Source organism: Homo sapiens, chromosome 2 (genome assembly GCF_000001405.40).
Source record: "Homo sapiens chromosome 2, GRCh38.p14 Primary Assembly".
Classification (NCBI taxonomy): domain Eukaryota; kingdom Metazoa; phylum Chordata; class Mammalia; order Primates; family Hominidae; genus Homo; species Homo sapiens.
Window position 1 is genome coordinate 156,446,732 of NC_000002.12, and position 16,415 is coordinate 156,463,146.

Consider the following 16,415-nt stretch of genomic DNA (forward strand, 5'->3'; position numbering starts at 1 on the left):
TTTTATATTTTTAGTAGAGACAAGGTTTCACCATGTTGGCCAGGCTGGTCTCGAACTTGTGATTTGCCTGCCTTGGCCTCCCAAAGTGCTGGGATCACAGACATGAGCCACAGCACCCGGCCCTTGCCTTCTATTATTCTGAGAGAATTGAAATAACATGTCAAATCTTAAAATTTTTCTCCTTTCCACATCATTTTTATATCTGAATCCATCAACCCCTCATTAATTCTTGACTTAGAGGTGGTTATCCGAAGTTGATGCTTTCCCCCGTACTCTGGATCCCCCATTCCCTTCAGATGCCTTATTCTATGACATTTTTCTATGCTTACCTGCATGTATTTATTTGTTTGTTTGTGTTGGAGATGCTGAGATGCATTTCAAATATTTACAAGAATGCTCAAGATTCTCCCATTACAAAAACAAACAAGACCAATAACCAACATTGCACCTGTGCCCCATTCTGCCCTCTTGCTACATGCTCTCTTTCTCCTTTCCTTCAAGCTGTTCTTCCTTAAAGTACTTTTTGTGCATTATTTTTCTACTTCTTCACCTTCCATTCCCTCCACAACTGTTGGAATCTGTCTTCGATCTCAGATGAATCTCTCTCTTTTTTTTTTTCCTGAGACAGGGTCTTATCCTGTCACTCAGGCTGGATTGCAGTAGCACAATCATAGTTCATGGCAGCCTTGAACTCCTGGGCTCAAGCGATCCTCCTACGTCAGCCTCCTGAGTGGCTGGGACCCCAGGTTCAGGCCATCATACCTGATTGATTTTTACTTTTTTTATAGAGATGGAGCCTTGCCATGTGGCCCAGGCTGGTCTTGAACTCCTGGGCTTGAGCGATTCTCCCTCCTTAGCCTCCCAAAGTGCTGGGATTACAGGTGTGAGCCTGGCCCAACTCTGCTCTTGTTATGATTATGAGTGTCCTCTTGACTGACAAATCAATGAGATTTTATTATTTAAAATTTCCATGATTCTGCTCATTCTCTTTTCTGTGAAACTGAGTTTTCACTAGGCTACTGTGACATCTTCTCTTGGATTACTCCTTATGGATCTCTCTGCAGGTTCTTTGCCTTGATATTGGAATTCCCAGGGTCTGTCTTTAGTTCACTCTCTTTTCTCTGTTGATGCTTTTTCAACAAGTTCATCAATATCCCTGATTTCAGTCAATCCCAAGTCAACATTCTTGGGCAGACTTATTCGCTGAACTCAGGCATTTCCACTTGCATGTCCCACAGTTGAGTCAGGACCCATAATTTCTTCCTGCTTTCCCATGCTATTCCTTTCCTTATTGACAAATGCCATCATCTTTTCTCTCACTGCCTACATCATCCATCCATTTGTTTGTTAGGTCTATCAATCACCTAATATGTGTCAGCAATTTTCCCTTTTTTTTTTTTTGACTCTTGCTCTGTTGCCCAGGCTGGAGTGCAGTGGCATGATCTCGGCTCATTGCAACCTCCGCCTCCCAGGTACAAGCAATTCTCTGCCTCAGCCTCCCGAGTAGCTGGGATTACAAGCACCTGCCACCATGCCCGGCTAATTGTTTTGTATTTTTAGTAGAGACGGGGTTTCACCATCTTGGTCAGGCTGGTCTTGAGCTCCTGACCTCGTGATCCACCACCTTGGCCTCCCAAAGTGCTGGGATGGGATTACAGGCGTGAGCCACTGCGCCTGGCCTATGTCAGCAATTTTTCTACAAATAAGATTATAGTGGTGTACAAAACAAACACAGTTTCTGTTCTTGTAGAATTATGTTTTAGTGGGGAACAAAGAAATAATAATGCTTAAATAAAGGAGAGACATGAGAAGATAAGAGTTGTATGCATACTTTGGATTTGAATAATTTGGGAAGGCCTCTCTGAGGACTTGACATTTAAGCTGAGTCGTGAATGACTGGAAGGAGCTTGCCATGCAAAGTTGAGGAGCAGAGCATTCCAGGTAGAGGCAGCTGGCCCCAAAACACTAATAGTAATCCTGATTTGACAGACATCAGAAGGCAAATAAATCTGGAACTTAGTGGGTAAGAGTGAGAGGTGTCTGTATTGGTGTCCTGTGGCTGCTGTAACAAATGACCACAAACTTGGTGGCTTAAAACAACAGAAATTTATTCTTTCATCATTCAGGATGCCGGAAATCTGAAGTCAGTTTCACTGTGCCAAAATTAAGGAGTTAGCAGGATGTGCTCCCTTCTGAGGAGTGAATATGGTCCTTAACTCCTTCAGGTTCTGGTGGCTTCTGGCATTCCTTGGCTGTGGCTGCATCACTCCAGTCTCTACTTCTGTGGTCACATCATTGCATTCTCATCTGTATCAAATCACCCTGTCTTCTTCTTACAAAGATGTAAAGTGATTACATTTAGGGTTCCCCCTGGTAATTCAGAATAACCTTTCCCTCTTAAGGTCTTAATTTAATCACATTGGTGAATTTTTTTTTTTCCTTATAACATTCACAGGTTCCAGGGATTAGGATGAGGATATGTTGTGGGCGTCATTATTTAACCTACTGCAGTGAAGGGCTGGATCCTATAGGTCTTTATAATCCAAGGTGAGATGTTTAGATTTCATTCTAGGGTGCTAGAAACCATTAGAGGATTATATGCAGGCAAGAGAAACTGTGTGGTTTTGCTATAAAGTAGTCTTTCTTAATTTCTTCTCACTGTACCTTTCCAAGAAGAAAAATTAAATTAAAATTAATTAATTAAAAACTTAATTTCTCCCCAACAAGAGAGTACTGCTTAAATGCTAAGAAGATTTTGTTGGGTAGAGTTGAAGTTTGGAGGGCCACAGACAATTGTAATATGCAATATTTTTTCACCTGCCAAGAAGCAACTGTGGGTGATATTGCTCTCATTGAGAATACATGCCATCAAAGATTATGCTGGCTGCTACAAGTAAACAGAATATGGGAAGTGGGAGTTAGTTAGTCTGTTTTGGTTGCCCAACCAAGAACTTATTATTGAATGGACAACCATTGTATTAAAGATAGAAAAAAGTGGCCTGGGCGTGGTGGCTTATGCCTGTAATCCCAGCACTTTGGGAGGCTGAGGCGGGTGAATCACATGAGGCCAGGAGTTCGAGACCAGCCTGGCCAATATGGCAAAACTCCATCTCTACTAAATATACAAAAAAAAAAAAGCCGGGCATGGTGGCACATGCCTGTAATCCCAGCTACTAGGGAGGCTGAGGCAGGAGCCTTGAACCTGGGAGGTGGAGGTTGCAGTGAGCCAAGATTGTGCCACTGCACTCCAGCCTGGGTGACAGAGTGAGACTCTGTCTCAAAGAGAAAAAAGCATAGAAAGAAGTGGATAGATTCAGGATATATTTTTGAGATAGAATTAGTTGGGTGAACTTGCCTGCTAGATTATTTGGAGGAAAGGAAGAAGAATAAAAGAAAGGCTTGCATTTTCTATTTGAGAGCTGGTCCACTTACTGAGAAGGGGAGAGCTGGGAGAGAGGCAGACTTGATGGAAGATATAAAGTGTTCTGCTTTGGCTAAGTTTGAAGTGATTATTAGATATTCCTTTGGAGATGTCAGACAACTGGGTGAATGGGGTTTGGAGATTCTGAGAGGGGTTTGGCTGAGGATACAGACTTAGGAATTATTTGCATATAGGTTATATTTGATACTGGATGGAGTTACCTACAGAGAATGTATATAGAGAGAAGCAGGCCATTGAGCAACTATTATATAGAAGAGAAGGAGGAGTTGCCAGTGGGATGGGATGGAAAGCAGAAGAGCGTGGTGTCTCTGAGGCTAAGAATTCAAAAGATATTAAAAAAGAGACGGTTCTACTATGTTAATTATAGAGATTACATTTGGTGAAATGAGGTCATTTGTGATTTTGACAATTTGACATATAGTTTAAGAAGAGGCTGGGACAAAGTTTATTGGATTAAATTGTGGAAGTGGAGACAGTTCTTATAGACAACTCTTTTTTTTTTTTTTTTTATTGCTCATTCTTGGGTGTTTCTCGCAGAGGGGGATTTGGCAGGGTCACAGGACAATAGTGGAGGGAAGGTCAGCAGATAAACAAGTGAACAAAGGTCTCTGGTTTTCCTAGGCAGAGGACCCTGCGGCCTTCCGCAGTGTTTGTGTCCCTGGGTACTTGAGATTAGGGAGTGGTGATGACTCTTAACGAGCATGCTGCCTTCAAGCATCTGTTTAACAAAGCACATCTTGCACCGCCCTTAATCCATTTAACCCTGAGTGGACACAGCACATGTTTCAGAGAGCACAGGGTTGGGGGTAAGGTCACAGATCAACAGGATCCCAAGGCAGAAGAATTTTTCTTAGTACAGAACAAAATGAAAAGTCTCCCATGTCTACTTCTTTCTACACAGACACGGCAACCATCCGATTTCTCAATCTTTTCCCCACCTTTCCCCCCGTTCTATTCCACAAAACCGCCATTGTCATCATGGCCCGTTCTCAATGAGCTGCTGGGCACACCTCCCAGACGGGGTGGTGGCCGGGCAGAGGGGCTCCTCACCTCCCAGTAGGGGTGGCCGGGCAGAGGCGCCCCTCACCTCCCGGACGGGGCAGCTGGCAGGGCGGGGGGCTGACCCCCCCACCTCCTTTCCGGACAGGGCGGCTGGCCGGGCGGGGGTGCTCCTCACTTCCCAGTAGGGGCGGCTGGGCAGAGGCGCCCCTCACCTCCCGGACGGGGCAGCTGGCAGGGCGGGGGGCTGACCCCCCCACCTCCCTCCCGGACGGGGCGGCTGGCCGGGCGGGGGGCTGACCCCCCCACCTCCCTCCCGGAAGGGGCGGCTGGCCGAGCGGGGGGGCTGACCCCCCCACCTCCCTCCCAGACGGGGCGGCTGGCCGGGCGGGGGTCTGACCCCCCCACCTCCTTCCCGGACAGGGCGGCTGGCCCGGCAGAGGGGCTCCTCACTTCCCAGTAGGGGCGGCTGGGCAGAGGCGCCCCTCACCTCCCGGACGGGGCAGCTGGCAGGGCGGGGGGCTGACCCCCCCACCTCCCTCCCGGACGGGGCGGCTGGCCGGGCGGGGGGCTGACCCCCCCACCTCCCTCCCAGACAGGGTGGCTGCCGGGCGGAGACACTCCTCACTTCCCAGACGGGGTGGCTGCCAGGCGGAGGGGCTCCTCACTTCTCAGATGGGCGGAGGGTCTCCTCACTTCTCAGACGGGGCGGCCGGGCAGAGACGCTCCTCACCTCCCAGACGGGGTCGCGGCCGGGCAGAGGCGCTCCTCACATCCCAGACGGGGCGGCGGGGCAGAGGCGCTCCCCACATCTCAGACGATGGGCGGCCGGGCAGAGATGCTTCTCTCTTCCTAGATGGGATGGCGGCCGGGCAGAGACGCTCCTCACTTTCCAGACTGGGCAGCCAGGCAGAGGGGCTCCTCACGTCCCAGACGATGGGTGGCCAGGCAGAGACGCTCCTCACTTCCCAGACTGGGTGGCGGCCGGGCAGAGGCTGCACTCCTGGCACTTTGGGAGGCCAAGGCAGGCGGCTGGGAGGTGGAGGTTGTAGCGAGCCGAGATCACGCCACCTCACTCCAGCCTGGGCACCATTGAGCACTGAGTGAACCAGACTCCGTCTGCAATCCCGGCACCTCTGGAGGCCGAGGCTGGCGGATCACTCGCGGTTAGGAGCTGGAGACCAGCCCGGCCAACACAGCAAAACCCCGTCTCCACCAAAAAAATACAAAAACCAGTCAGGCGCGGCGGCGCGCACCTGCAATCGCAGGCTGAGGCAGGAGAATCAGGCAGGGAGGTTGCAGTGAGCCGAGATGGCAGCAGTACAGTCCAGCTTCGGCTCGGCATCAGAGGGAGACCATGGAAAGAGAGGGAGAGGGAGACCGTGGGGAGAGGGGAGAGGGGAGAGGGAGAACTCTTTCAAGAAGTTTCATTATGAAGGAAAGCAGAGACGTGGAAAAGTTCTTGGAAGAGGATATTGGTCAAGGGAGGGTTTGTTAGAACTAGAGGATAATACAGTGAATTTCTATGCTGACAAAATGATTAAGTAGAGAAGAGGAGCTGATGAAGGTAGGAGAGAGTGGTGGGTAATTGTACAAATAAAATTTCTGAAGAGCCAGGAAGGAAGGGGATCTAGTGTACAAATAGAATGATTGGTCTTTACTTGAAACAGGCACATTTTATTAGTAAAAGGAAGGACTGCAGAGAGAATGAGTACAGAGGTGGATAAGTCATCATTTGGGTGGTGGGAAGATGAAATTTTTACCTAGTTGCATCTACTTTACTTTCCCAGTGAAGTGTGATGATATTGGGGTGTGGAGGGGTGAAACAGGTTTGGGAAAAGAGATTTCAAATGGCTATTTTGAAACATCCTGGGGAAATGTAATAGGATTGTGGGTCAGTGTGGATTGCACATTAATGATTTGCAGCTATGAATTTAAATTGAGGCCAGTTGTGGTTGCATGTTTTTTTTCCCAGGCAGTTTCTTCAGCTGTTTGGGTGGAGATGTGAAACAGGCAGATAGTTGGGTTTAACTGGTTTGGGGGTTTGCCAAGTAAAAATGAAGCATGAAGAGAGGAGCAAGGGAGTTAAGGGTGCTTGGAAGGGAGAAATTACAGTGATGGACCTAATTTAATTCTCAGCTAGGCAGCAGGAGAAGTGACTGATAGTGAAGCAAATAGTAGGGTCAATGGACTGAAGGGCCAGATAATGCCAAGATGGTGGAATGGAAATTCCAGACTACAGTAGATAAACTGAAGAAAGAGAAGGTGGTGTTTACAGTGTAGGGTGCTTGAGGCTGGAGTCTGCGGAGTTGATATAAATAGTGGGGATGCCCAAATCAGAGGTTATGATAATGAGGTAGGGTCAAACAAAGGTCATCAGAGGTGAGGTGGTTGAGGAATTGGAGCCTTCATGTAGTTGTAGAAAACAGCAATGATGGCCGGGCCTGTAATCCCAGCACTTCGGGAGGCTGAGGCGGGTGGATCACCTGAGGTCAGGAGTTTGAGACCAGCCTGGCTAACATGGCAAAACCATGGCTCTACTAAAGATACAAAAATTAGCTGGGCATGGTGGCACATGCCTGTGATCCCAGCTACTTGGGAGGCTGAGGCAGGAGAATCGCTTGAACCCGGGAGGTGGAGGTTGCAGTGAGCTGAGATCACGCCACTTCACTGCAGCCTGGGTGACAGAGTGAGACTCTGTCTCAAAAACAAAAAACAAAACAAAAAAGAAAACTGCAATGATGAAGACAGATGAGTCTGGAAAGGGAAATAGGTATGAAGGTCATCAGCAAATAAGGGGAAATAGCAGTAGTTGGGTAGATGACAGCGAGAAGGGATAATGGGTGGTAAAGTCTAATGGCATAAACTTCAGACAGGTAAGACTTTTGAAAGAGGATAGAAGAGAAATTGGAAGGTGAGCTGGAGAGACACTTAATCCACCTCTAGGTTAGGGGATCTTGGGGTTATGAACAGAGTCGTTACTCAAAGTGTTTGACAACTCATGTGAAATGGTAACCTGCTGATGTCGGTGTTCCATCAGGAGCAGGGTTCTGGGGGCCTTTTGTGAAGCTAGATGTTAACTCTTTAATCTCTTGATCATAGCTAGTTGTCAACTGGTTGAGAGGTATTTTGATACTTTAGCAACTGCCATAGCCATCCTTGTTTATACTGGCTGAAACTAGACCTAAGTATGAGAATATAGGGCCATGTGTGGTGTCTCAGGCCTGTAATCTCAGTGCTTTGGTAGGCCAAATGGGAGGATTACTTGAGGCCAGGAGTTCTATACCAGCCAGGGCAACATAGTGAGACCCTATCTCTATGAAAAAAAAAAAGTGATAATATAACCAAGCTTCTCTTTATATGATATGGGAAAATAGTGTTATTAGTGTTCAGCATCTGAAATTCAGGTTAAATCTTACTTTCTTTATGTTTTCAAGGTTTAGTTTGGTGAAAGGAACACTCAGAGAAGAGAATTTAATGGAATTTGCTGGGGATAGAGTTTAAGTACCAGAGGGCAGAGTGGGAGGGAGGGAGGCCTGGGAAGGTGAGAGATGGGGAAGATTGGTCTTCTGGTGATGACTGAGGAAAAGAGGGCTGTGGAGCATGCTAGGGTTAGTCCTGGTGATGTCTTGGGGGAAATTGGGTAGGTACCATGTGGCAGCTCCTGTTGCTTAGTGGCCAGGGGTGAGCAAAAGCCTTCTTAGTGTGTCTGTAGCCTAGGTCATCTCCTGAAGACGTAGTGGCCAGTTGGAGTATAAAGGCCTCCTTGGGGACCAGCTGCCCTTCAGTGGCTGATAGCATGAGGTGCTCTTAGGGCCTCTTCTCAGCCATGATGGTGGTGTAACCCTGGGGGAGAGGGAGGGGTCTTCTGTTTGAAGGACTAAGGACTGCTGCTCCCAGGGAGCAGTCATCTTAGCAATTCTCCCTCCAAAATGGATTTGGACTTCGTGCTGTCCCCTCTGTAATGACTGTGGTTGTCTTAGTATGGACTCTCAGGAGTTGCGTCCAGTCTCCTGACTGCCCTGAATCCAGTCTTCTGATTTCCTTACTCCCAGATTCATGTTCTTTTAGTTTATCTGTCAAGACTGCTCTGGAAAATTAGGAATGAGAGAATGGTCTTTTAAGTTCAACCATGGTTCTATCTAATCCTACTAGGAATGTTATGAAGATGAATGTAACATATATAAATTGACTAGCACAGTCCTTATAACACAGTATGTAGCCAAAGCATATGCTTAAAGCCTTCTTGACAATCCTTTGTCTAATGACAAAGTCCAAATTCCTTTGACTCGTATATAAGATTTCCAGTGATTCTTCTGCCTTGCTCTATTGAGTTTCATTGCCTCCTTACTTAGGATTACTCATTCCACCCTATGCCCTAGTCAGACCACACCCTCTTGTTCTTGAAAATGATGTGTTGTCTTATACCATTATGTCTCTGCTCATAGTCACTCTGGACATAATACACCTTCACTGTTAAAGTTACATATTGCCTTCCCTAGAAACCTCCCCTGATGCTTCCTGCCTTCTCTTTCCTTCAGGGGTAAGTAATCCCTTAGCGCCTTGTCCTTATTTTTATCATTTTTGTTTGTGTTAGAATGCTTCTCTCTAAGCCATTAGTTTTTTAAAGGCAGAAACCAGTAAGTGATTCATCTTTGTTTACCCATGGTCTAATACAGTAGGTGCCCACAAATGTTTGTTGAGTAAATGAAAACTCACTGCATATTTGAGTTTCCATATTGCCTTTGTTTGGTGAAATCTAAATTATATATTTTTTGCTTCTTTCTTTTAACAGTGCAGGAAATTTTTCTGATGAAGTAGTAGATGAGTGCAGAAAAAAACTGATGTCCATGTAGTTATTTAGGATGGGAAACAGACTTCATCCTGTGTTCTTTTCCTTCTACTGAGTGACTTTTACTGCTTGATTTATCCAGTGATTTTGCTCACTATTGCCATTGTTTTTTGGTGAATTGTAATCATTAACGTTTTCAGTGGTACACCAAAGAAATGCAAACAAATGTGATTTTCTGGTTGTTTAATTGGGCATTTTCTGGTGCCCACTTAGAATTGTGGGATTGGGGTATGGAGCATTCTAGAATGTTGGTGAAAAGTCTAGTCCTTTAGGTTTCTTCAAATGTTGGTCTTCTTGGGCCAGGCGCGGTGGCTCACATCTATAACCGTAGCACTTTGGGAGGCTGAGGTGGGCAGATCACCTGAGGTCAGGAGTTTGAGACCAGTCTGGCCAATATGACGAAACCTTGTCTCTACAAAAATACAAAAACTAGTCGCATGTGGTGGCGCACAACTGTAATCCCAGCTTCTCTGGAGGCTGAGGTGGGAGAATTGCTTGAACTTGGAAGGTGGAGGTTGCAGAGATCACACCACTGCGCTCCAGCCTGGGCAACGGAGTGCGACTCTGTCTCAAAAAAAAAAAAAGTTGGTCTTCTTGATCCTACATGAACTAATTAATTCTGTATTCCAAAGAATTAAGATAATGCAAATCAGATGGCAGCAGAATGAATCAAGTAAGAGTGGGAAGGGCAAATGTGAAATGAGGGGGCAGGAGTGAGTCACTCTTTTGTGTAGATGGATAGGGAATGCTGGAAAGGGGAGGGTGAAGGTGGGTTGGGGGCTGTGGGAGAGTCTGAGCAATAAGGAGATGGCGTAGCATGGGTAAAGGTGGTTTGGGCGACACAGTGGTTAGCAAGCTCTGTGGTTAGCATGTTCTGCATGAGTGACCAAGCAAGGCCCATTTTGGCACTTGAGATGGGATCACTGACCCTCGTTCCCCAGTTCTCATTGTAAGGTTAAACAAAGATGCAGTGTATGCTTTCATATTTTGAGATTAGGGTATCATTCTAGAAGGGACACATTCTTGAGAAATAGCTTGATTTCTTTAAAAAAAAATTGACTCATAGACTGTTTCCATGGCATTTTGATTTTTTATTAGTATTTTTTCCTAAGGTACTTAGATGGTGTCCAGAGTTTGTGACAGAGCCAGAAAGCAACTCCCCACCTTCTCTGAAATAAAAATAAATACCAAGAAGTACTATTCTAAATAGAGGACCAGAAACTACTCATATGGGTCAAAGTTGTCCCAATGACTTGGGTTAACTCAGGCCACAAACCTTTGCTCAGGCTTCTTACAGGGAATATTTTTAATCTGCCAATTGACAGACTACTAGAGATAGAGGTATAAACGTTGGACTCCATGTGATTAGAGCCTGATCTGAAGGGAAAATCCTCTTGCCTCCTTCTGACCTCTGTAACAGGTAATCTGTGACCCAGAAATAGATCTGCATTAGATGTTGGGCTTGATATGGGTTTATTTTTGATAGAACACTCTGAAATAAGAGTGTCCATTCTATTTGAGTGAATGTTTATTTGGGGGAAAGATGCTAGAGATATGCCAGAAGAGGCCGCCTGCCTGTGTCTTTTCAGGGAAACAATGGGATTTATTTCCCCAACCTGTGAGTGTTAAGTGTACTTGGTTGTTCAGAACAAAGTGCTGGTTAGGCCAAAGCAGGGTTGTGGCCCGATGGAAATTGGTTGGTTGCTTTTGCTCTCTCGTAACAATAGTCTTCTATATCCCAATTCCACGTGCAAATGTGGACAATGTGTGAAAAGGCCAGAGCTTATTGTAGATGCTCAGTAATGTTATGTATTAGCAGTGGGAGTTGTTGGATAGCAGATGTATTTTTATGCTTTACTTATATTACCTCGAATTCTCAGTATAACTTGTGACAAAAGAGATTTTATAAATGAGGAAACTAAAGCTCATAGTCACACAGCTAGTAAGTGGCTAAGTTGGAATTCACCCAGGGCTGTCTGTGTCTTCTGTCTCCTACACTGGCTGCCTCCTGCACTGAATTTTCTCCTGGGTGTCATTGGTGTCATTTGAATATGCCGAGGACAGCAGCCTAGGACTAGCAGGTCCCTGGCTGTGCCTATAGGAGTAGCTGTGTTCCTGCAGGCAAGCACTAAATTATCACAGGGTGGGGAGAGAGAGGGAATGTTGGCCCCCATTTTAGGATGGTCTGTCTCTTCTCTGTGCATCTGTGGACTTCCTTTAGGGCCTGGCACAGTGGAGGGGCCCCCTGGGTGTGTTAACTAAAGAGATTCTGTAGTTATGGAGTTGAAATTTGGGAAACACCCAATTCCAGGAAGGTTGATCAGCTTTGCAGTTTCTGGTTTGATTTGTTGTTGGGATTTCCAGTGTTGCATTAAAACTGCAAATCCCCGAGGGGCTGTAATGTGCAATAACTAAAAATGTAGGGCGAGTTTAGGTGCAGCTTAACTCAAGCTTAAATGGTTATTGTGTCCCATGCTCAAGGCAAATTCATTTTAGTTAGGGTGGAGATTTTTCTAGAATGAGGCAGATAATTCTGTGACATTTTCCAGTTCTTACTCAAAGATTCCTAATAAATTGTAAAGGCAAAGTATTCTTTTTCTTTTTCTATATGGGTCTTTTACTGTAGTTCATTAAAGATGAGAAAAAGTTGTATAACAGGAAAATCACTCAAGTAATGGTCAGATGATATGGGATTTGGTCAAATGTCAGCTATCCATCTGCATGGTGCTCTTTGGAATTCTTTTTTTTCAGGTCTCTTTCTCTTATATGCATGCACACGTATATTCCACATTTTTTTCTAATTACAAGAATAATTCATGCTTATTTTAGACATCTAGAAAATAATGCACACAAGGAAGAAAATAAAAATGATTCATAATACTACCATTCAAAGATGAGATTTTTAACATTTTGGGGTATATTCGTCTAACCTTCACTTGTGAGTGTGTATGTGTGTGTATGTACATATACTTTAAAATAGAAATATATATATATATATATATACACACACACAAAGATACTGTTTTATTTACTTTTGTTCTCTTCATAATTAATTTTCTACTTGTCCGTTACCCCATCTCTATCCAGAGTGTACTTAACTCAGAAAGGATTAATTCCTACAAGGTGAAGAAATTCTAGAATGTCTAACTTATTTAAGGGTGCCATTTATTTTTTTAGACTTTTCTTTATTATGATTCTTTTCAGTATGAAAGTGTTGCTTTTTCAAGTCAGAGTGGGTTAAGGGGATGTTGATGGCAGTCATTTGGCATGGTGAGTGACTTACGCCTACTGTCCGGTTTAGGTGGTAAAAATGGCAGAAGGCCTTGGAGTGCCAAAGGCAAGGGTTATGGGTCCAGCAGTACCATGAAAAAGGGAATATAGGCTGGGCGCGGTGGCTCACACCTGTAATCCCAGCACTTTGGGAGGCTGAGGTGGGTGGATCACGAGGTCAGGAGATTGAGACCATCCTGGCCAACATGGTGAAACCTACTAAAAACTACTGAAAATACAAAAATTAGCTGGGCATGGTGGCGCATGCCTGTAATCCCAGCTATTTGGGAGCCTGATGCAGGAGAATCGCTTGAACCAGGGAGTCAGAGGTTGCAGTTAACTGAGATCATGCCACTGCATTCTAGCCTGGCGACAGAGCAAGACTCCGTCTCAAAAAAAAAAAAAAAAAAAAAAAGAAAGAAAAAGGGAACATATAGAAGATCTCAATCTTTTACGTAAGGACATTGAAGTCCAGGGAAGTCTGATGGCTTTGTTCAGGCTGAGACTATCGTAGGGTAGACTGACATCTCAGGTTGCTGACTGCCCATTCTGTAATCTCTGCAGAGCACTTGGCTGCCACATAGTATAATCTGAAAAACTGGCAGCTGCCAGACGAATGACTGAAGGAGTAAGCTCAAGTGCACTAGGTGAGGTCAGGCCTGAAGGTCATTGGACTGATACTGAACCTGGCGTTTTGACAGGAATCCTATTAGAAATGCCACTTAGTCACTTGCCTCCTGACTGCTTCATGGTAGGAACAGAGGCTCAAACTATGGCCTGAATTTTTTGGATTAAGTTTAAGTTTTACTTAATATTATCCCAATTTTATCTCAGACATTATCTCAAAATTATTTCAAAATTTATGGTTGAAGAGAGGCTGTTGAGTATAAATTGCTAATGTACTCTGCTGAATTCCATCAGCTATGTGATTTGACTGAGAACAGTACGATCCTAGCCCACTGGGGTCTGGTGAATTGCATCTGCTCAGTCAGAGTGTTCCTTGAGCTGGAATTGAAATGCATGGCCCTTTAGTTTCCAGTGTGATGCCAACACTTCAGGCAATTGACTTTTGCTCTTCAGTCTCCAATAGGGGGAAAATTATGAAATAAAATGGGGATAGGCCAGGCATCCTCAAGATTCAAACCCATAAATATAAATAACTGTAATTAATCATATGCAGTCTCTCTTGCCTGTTGGAAATTTATACTCAGCTGGGTCAATAAGCTTCACACAGCTCTTAACTTCCTGGCCTGTAGTTGGTGGGAAATGTTCTGGGTGCGTCAGCCTTTAGAGATGTGACCTAGGGTTCTTTTCCAATATGGGTCCAAAATCAGTGCAAATTATAATGAGTTGTGGGGTGAGAAAAGTCACCTGGAAACAACCCCAGCCCAAGGGGAAATAGAAATATAAAAAAGACTTCTGTTGGCATTTAAGAGGCTCTCTTAGATGACACTGTCTGTTCATTGTTGTTAGCCTGTTAGACTGAGTGAGATGAACAGTCTTTCAAGTATGTAAGTTCAGTACATATTTACATTCAAGTTTATCCCTAAAGTATTTGTTTCCCTATTATAGAATCTTGTAGATTGCAGTTGGTATTTTTGCCTGTTTTCTCATATAATTTGTTAACTCTTTCCCCCTCTCCCATTGTGTCCTTTTTTCTATACTTGCATCTACTCATTATGAACATGGCTAATGGTATCCTAATGAAAAAGCAACCCTCTCTCTCTCCTGGGGGTCATTGGTGTCATTTGAATATGCCAAGGATAGCATCCTATCACTAGCAGGTCCCTGGCTGTGCCTGTGCCTATAGGAGTAGTTGTGTTCCTGCAGGCAAGCACTAAATTATCACATTATCTCTCTCTATCTCTTTTTTTTTTTTTTTTTTTTTTTTTGAGACAGGATCTCACTCTGTTGCCCAGGGTGGAGTGCAGTGGTGGGATCTCAGCTCGCTGTAGCCTTGACCTTCCAGGCTCTACTTTTACTCTTATTACCCTAAAAGGCATCCTCTATACTGCAGCTAGGGCATTTCTTCCTTTCTTTCTGAAATATAAGTTTCATCGTATCATTGTACTGATTAAAATTCTCCACTGACTTTTTTGTTTGTTTGTTTTTGAGACAGGGTCTCACTTTGTCACCCAGGTTGGTGTGATCGTGGCTCACTGTAGGCTCCAACTCCTGTGCTCAAGCAATCCTCCTGCCTCAGCCTCCTGAGTGGCTGGGACTATAGGTGCATGTTACCATGCCCAGCTCATTTTTTCTATTTTTTGTAGGCACAGGGTCTCACTATGTTACCCAGGCTAGTCTCAAACTCCTGACCTCAAGCGATCCTCCCACCTTGGCCTCCCCAAGTGCTGGGATTACAGGCATGAGCCATCATGTCCAGCCTACCCCAGTTATCCTCTAACCTATTATTTCATCTTTATTTTCTCCTAGTAATTCTCACTTTCAAAATACTTAATTTTTATGTTTGTTTACATGTTTATTTTTGTCTTTTCCAATCCATGAGAGTAGAGGAATTCCCAGCCCCTGGAACAGTGCTGGGGATCTGCCAGGTATTCAGTCAATCCCAGTTGAATGTATGTTACCTGAACCAATGCTCCTCCTCCTGTCTTCTTCACTTGGGTAGGTCCTTCACGGATACTTTCCTGAGTATTTGATGGAACTCTTGCTTTGGTTATATTCTAAGAAATTACAATTTTAATCTTTCCTTTGCTATTGGTATGTTTTCAATAAGCCAGTTCTCAAGGAATTTTCGAGTTTTTTAGAAGCAGCAGATGGATTTTTTTGGTCCATTTATCTGCAAATATTTCTTTAAATGCAGGAGAGCACAGAAAAATATACTAATTGTTTCTAGCACAGAAGCAGAGAGTGTTGCCATGTTTTTTCAAGATAATGTGGATCTATTCAGATGAGGTAGAATTGAAATAAGAATTTTCTTTTTCTAAGGCCTGGACTCTGTGCATGTACCTGGTTTGACATTCTTTTTTTCTTTTTCTTTTTTCTTTTTTGAGATGGAGTTTTGCTCTTGTTGCCCAGGCTGGAGTCCAATGGCGTGATCTCGGCTCACTGCAACCTCCGCCTCCCGGGTTCAAGCAATTCTCCTGCCTCAGCCTCCCAAGTAGCTGGGATTCCAGGCATGCAACACCACACCCGGATACATTTTTTTTTTTTTTTTTTTTGTATTTTTAGTAGAGACGGGGTTTCTCCATATTGGTCGGGCTGGTCTCAAACTTCCACCCTCAGGTGATCTGCCTGCCTTGGCTTCCCAAAGTGCTGGGATTACAGGCATGAGCCACCGCACCTAGCCTGACATTCTTAACTCTATGTAAGAGGCTGGGGTAGTTTGTTTCATTCACAGTGTGTACAGCAAAATCCAGATGTTTTCTAGTAAGCTCCACTAACCTGAAACACATAAAAGAAGGGGGTAAAAAGATCCCTGAAGAGTTAGAGCCAGAACATTGAAAACCAAGTGTTAAAATTCTAGTAAGTAGCTCCTTTAGCCTTACTTAGAGCTATTTACTTGTATTTGAAACAGTTAAACTAACTTGGCTCTCATTTTTCTAACCACAGTGGTAACAATGACGAGTTAATGGGTGCAGCACACCAACATGGCACATGTATACTTATGTAACAAACCTGCATGTTGTGTACATATATCCTAGAACTTAAAGTATTAAAAAAGAAGTGAGCTCAAAGATAAACAGGGAAGATTATCATCAGCCTGATAGTTTGGAAGAAGCAGGAAAATTGTAGGAAGCAGAGAGAGGAAGAATTCATACAGGAACAGACTGGGACCTGAGACCACTAAGTAAAGGCATTAATAGTGTTGTCACTCCTATTATTCCTGAGGCC

The 16,415-nt window shown here is 44.5% G+C and overlaps 1 protein-coding gene across 6 annotated transcripts in view; it reads left to right on the forward strand.

The window, feature by feature from the left end:
• The window catches only part of GPD2 (glycerol-3-phosphate dehydrogenase 2), a 186,123-nt gene that overhangs the window by 46,451 nt on the left and 123,257 nt on the right, over positions 1–16,415 (forward strand). Inside the window, exon 1 of one of the 6 annotated variants that reach the window (XM_047443964.1) lies at positions 7,893–8,984. The exons of the other annotated variants lie outside the window; for them this stretch is intronic. The gene's annotated coding sequence lies outside the window, so the exon portion shown is untranslated. Of the gene's footprint in view, positions 1–7,892; positions 8,985–16,415 lie in introns of those variants that run through there. 6 annotated transcript variants of the gene reach the window in all.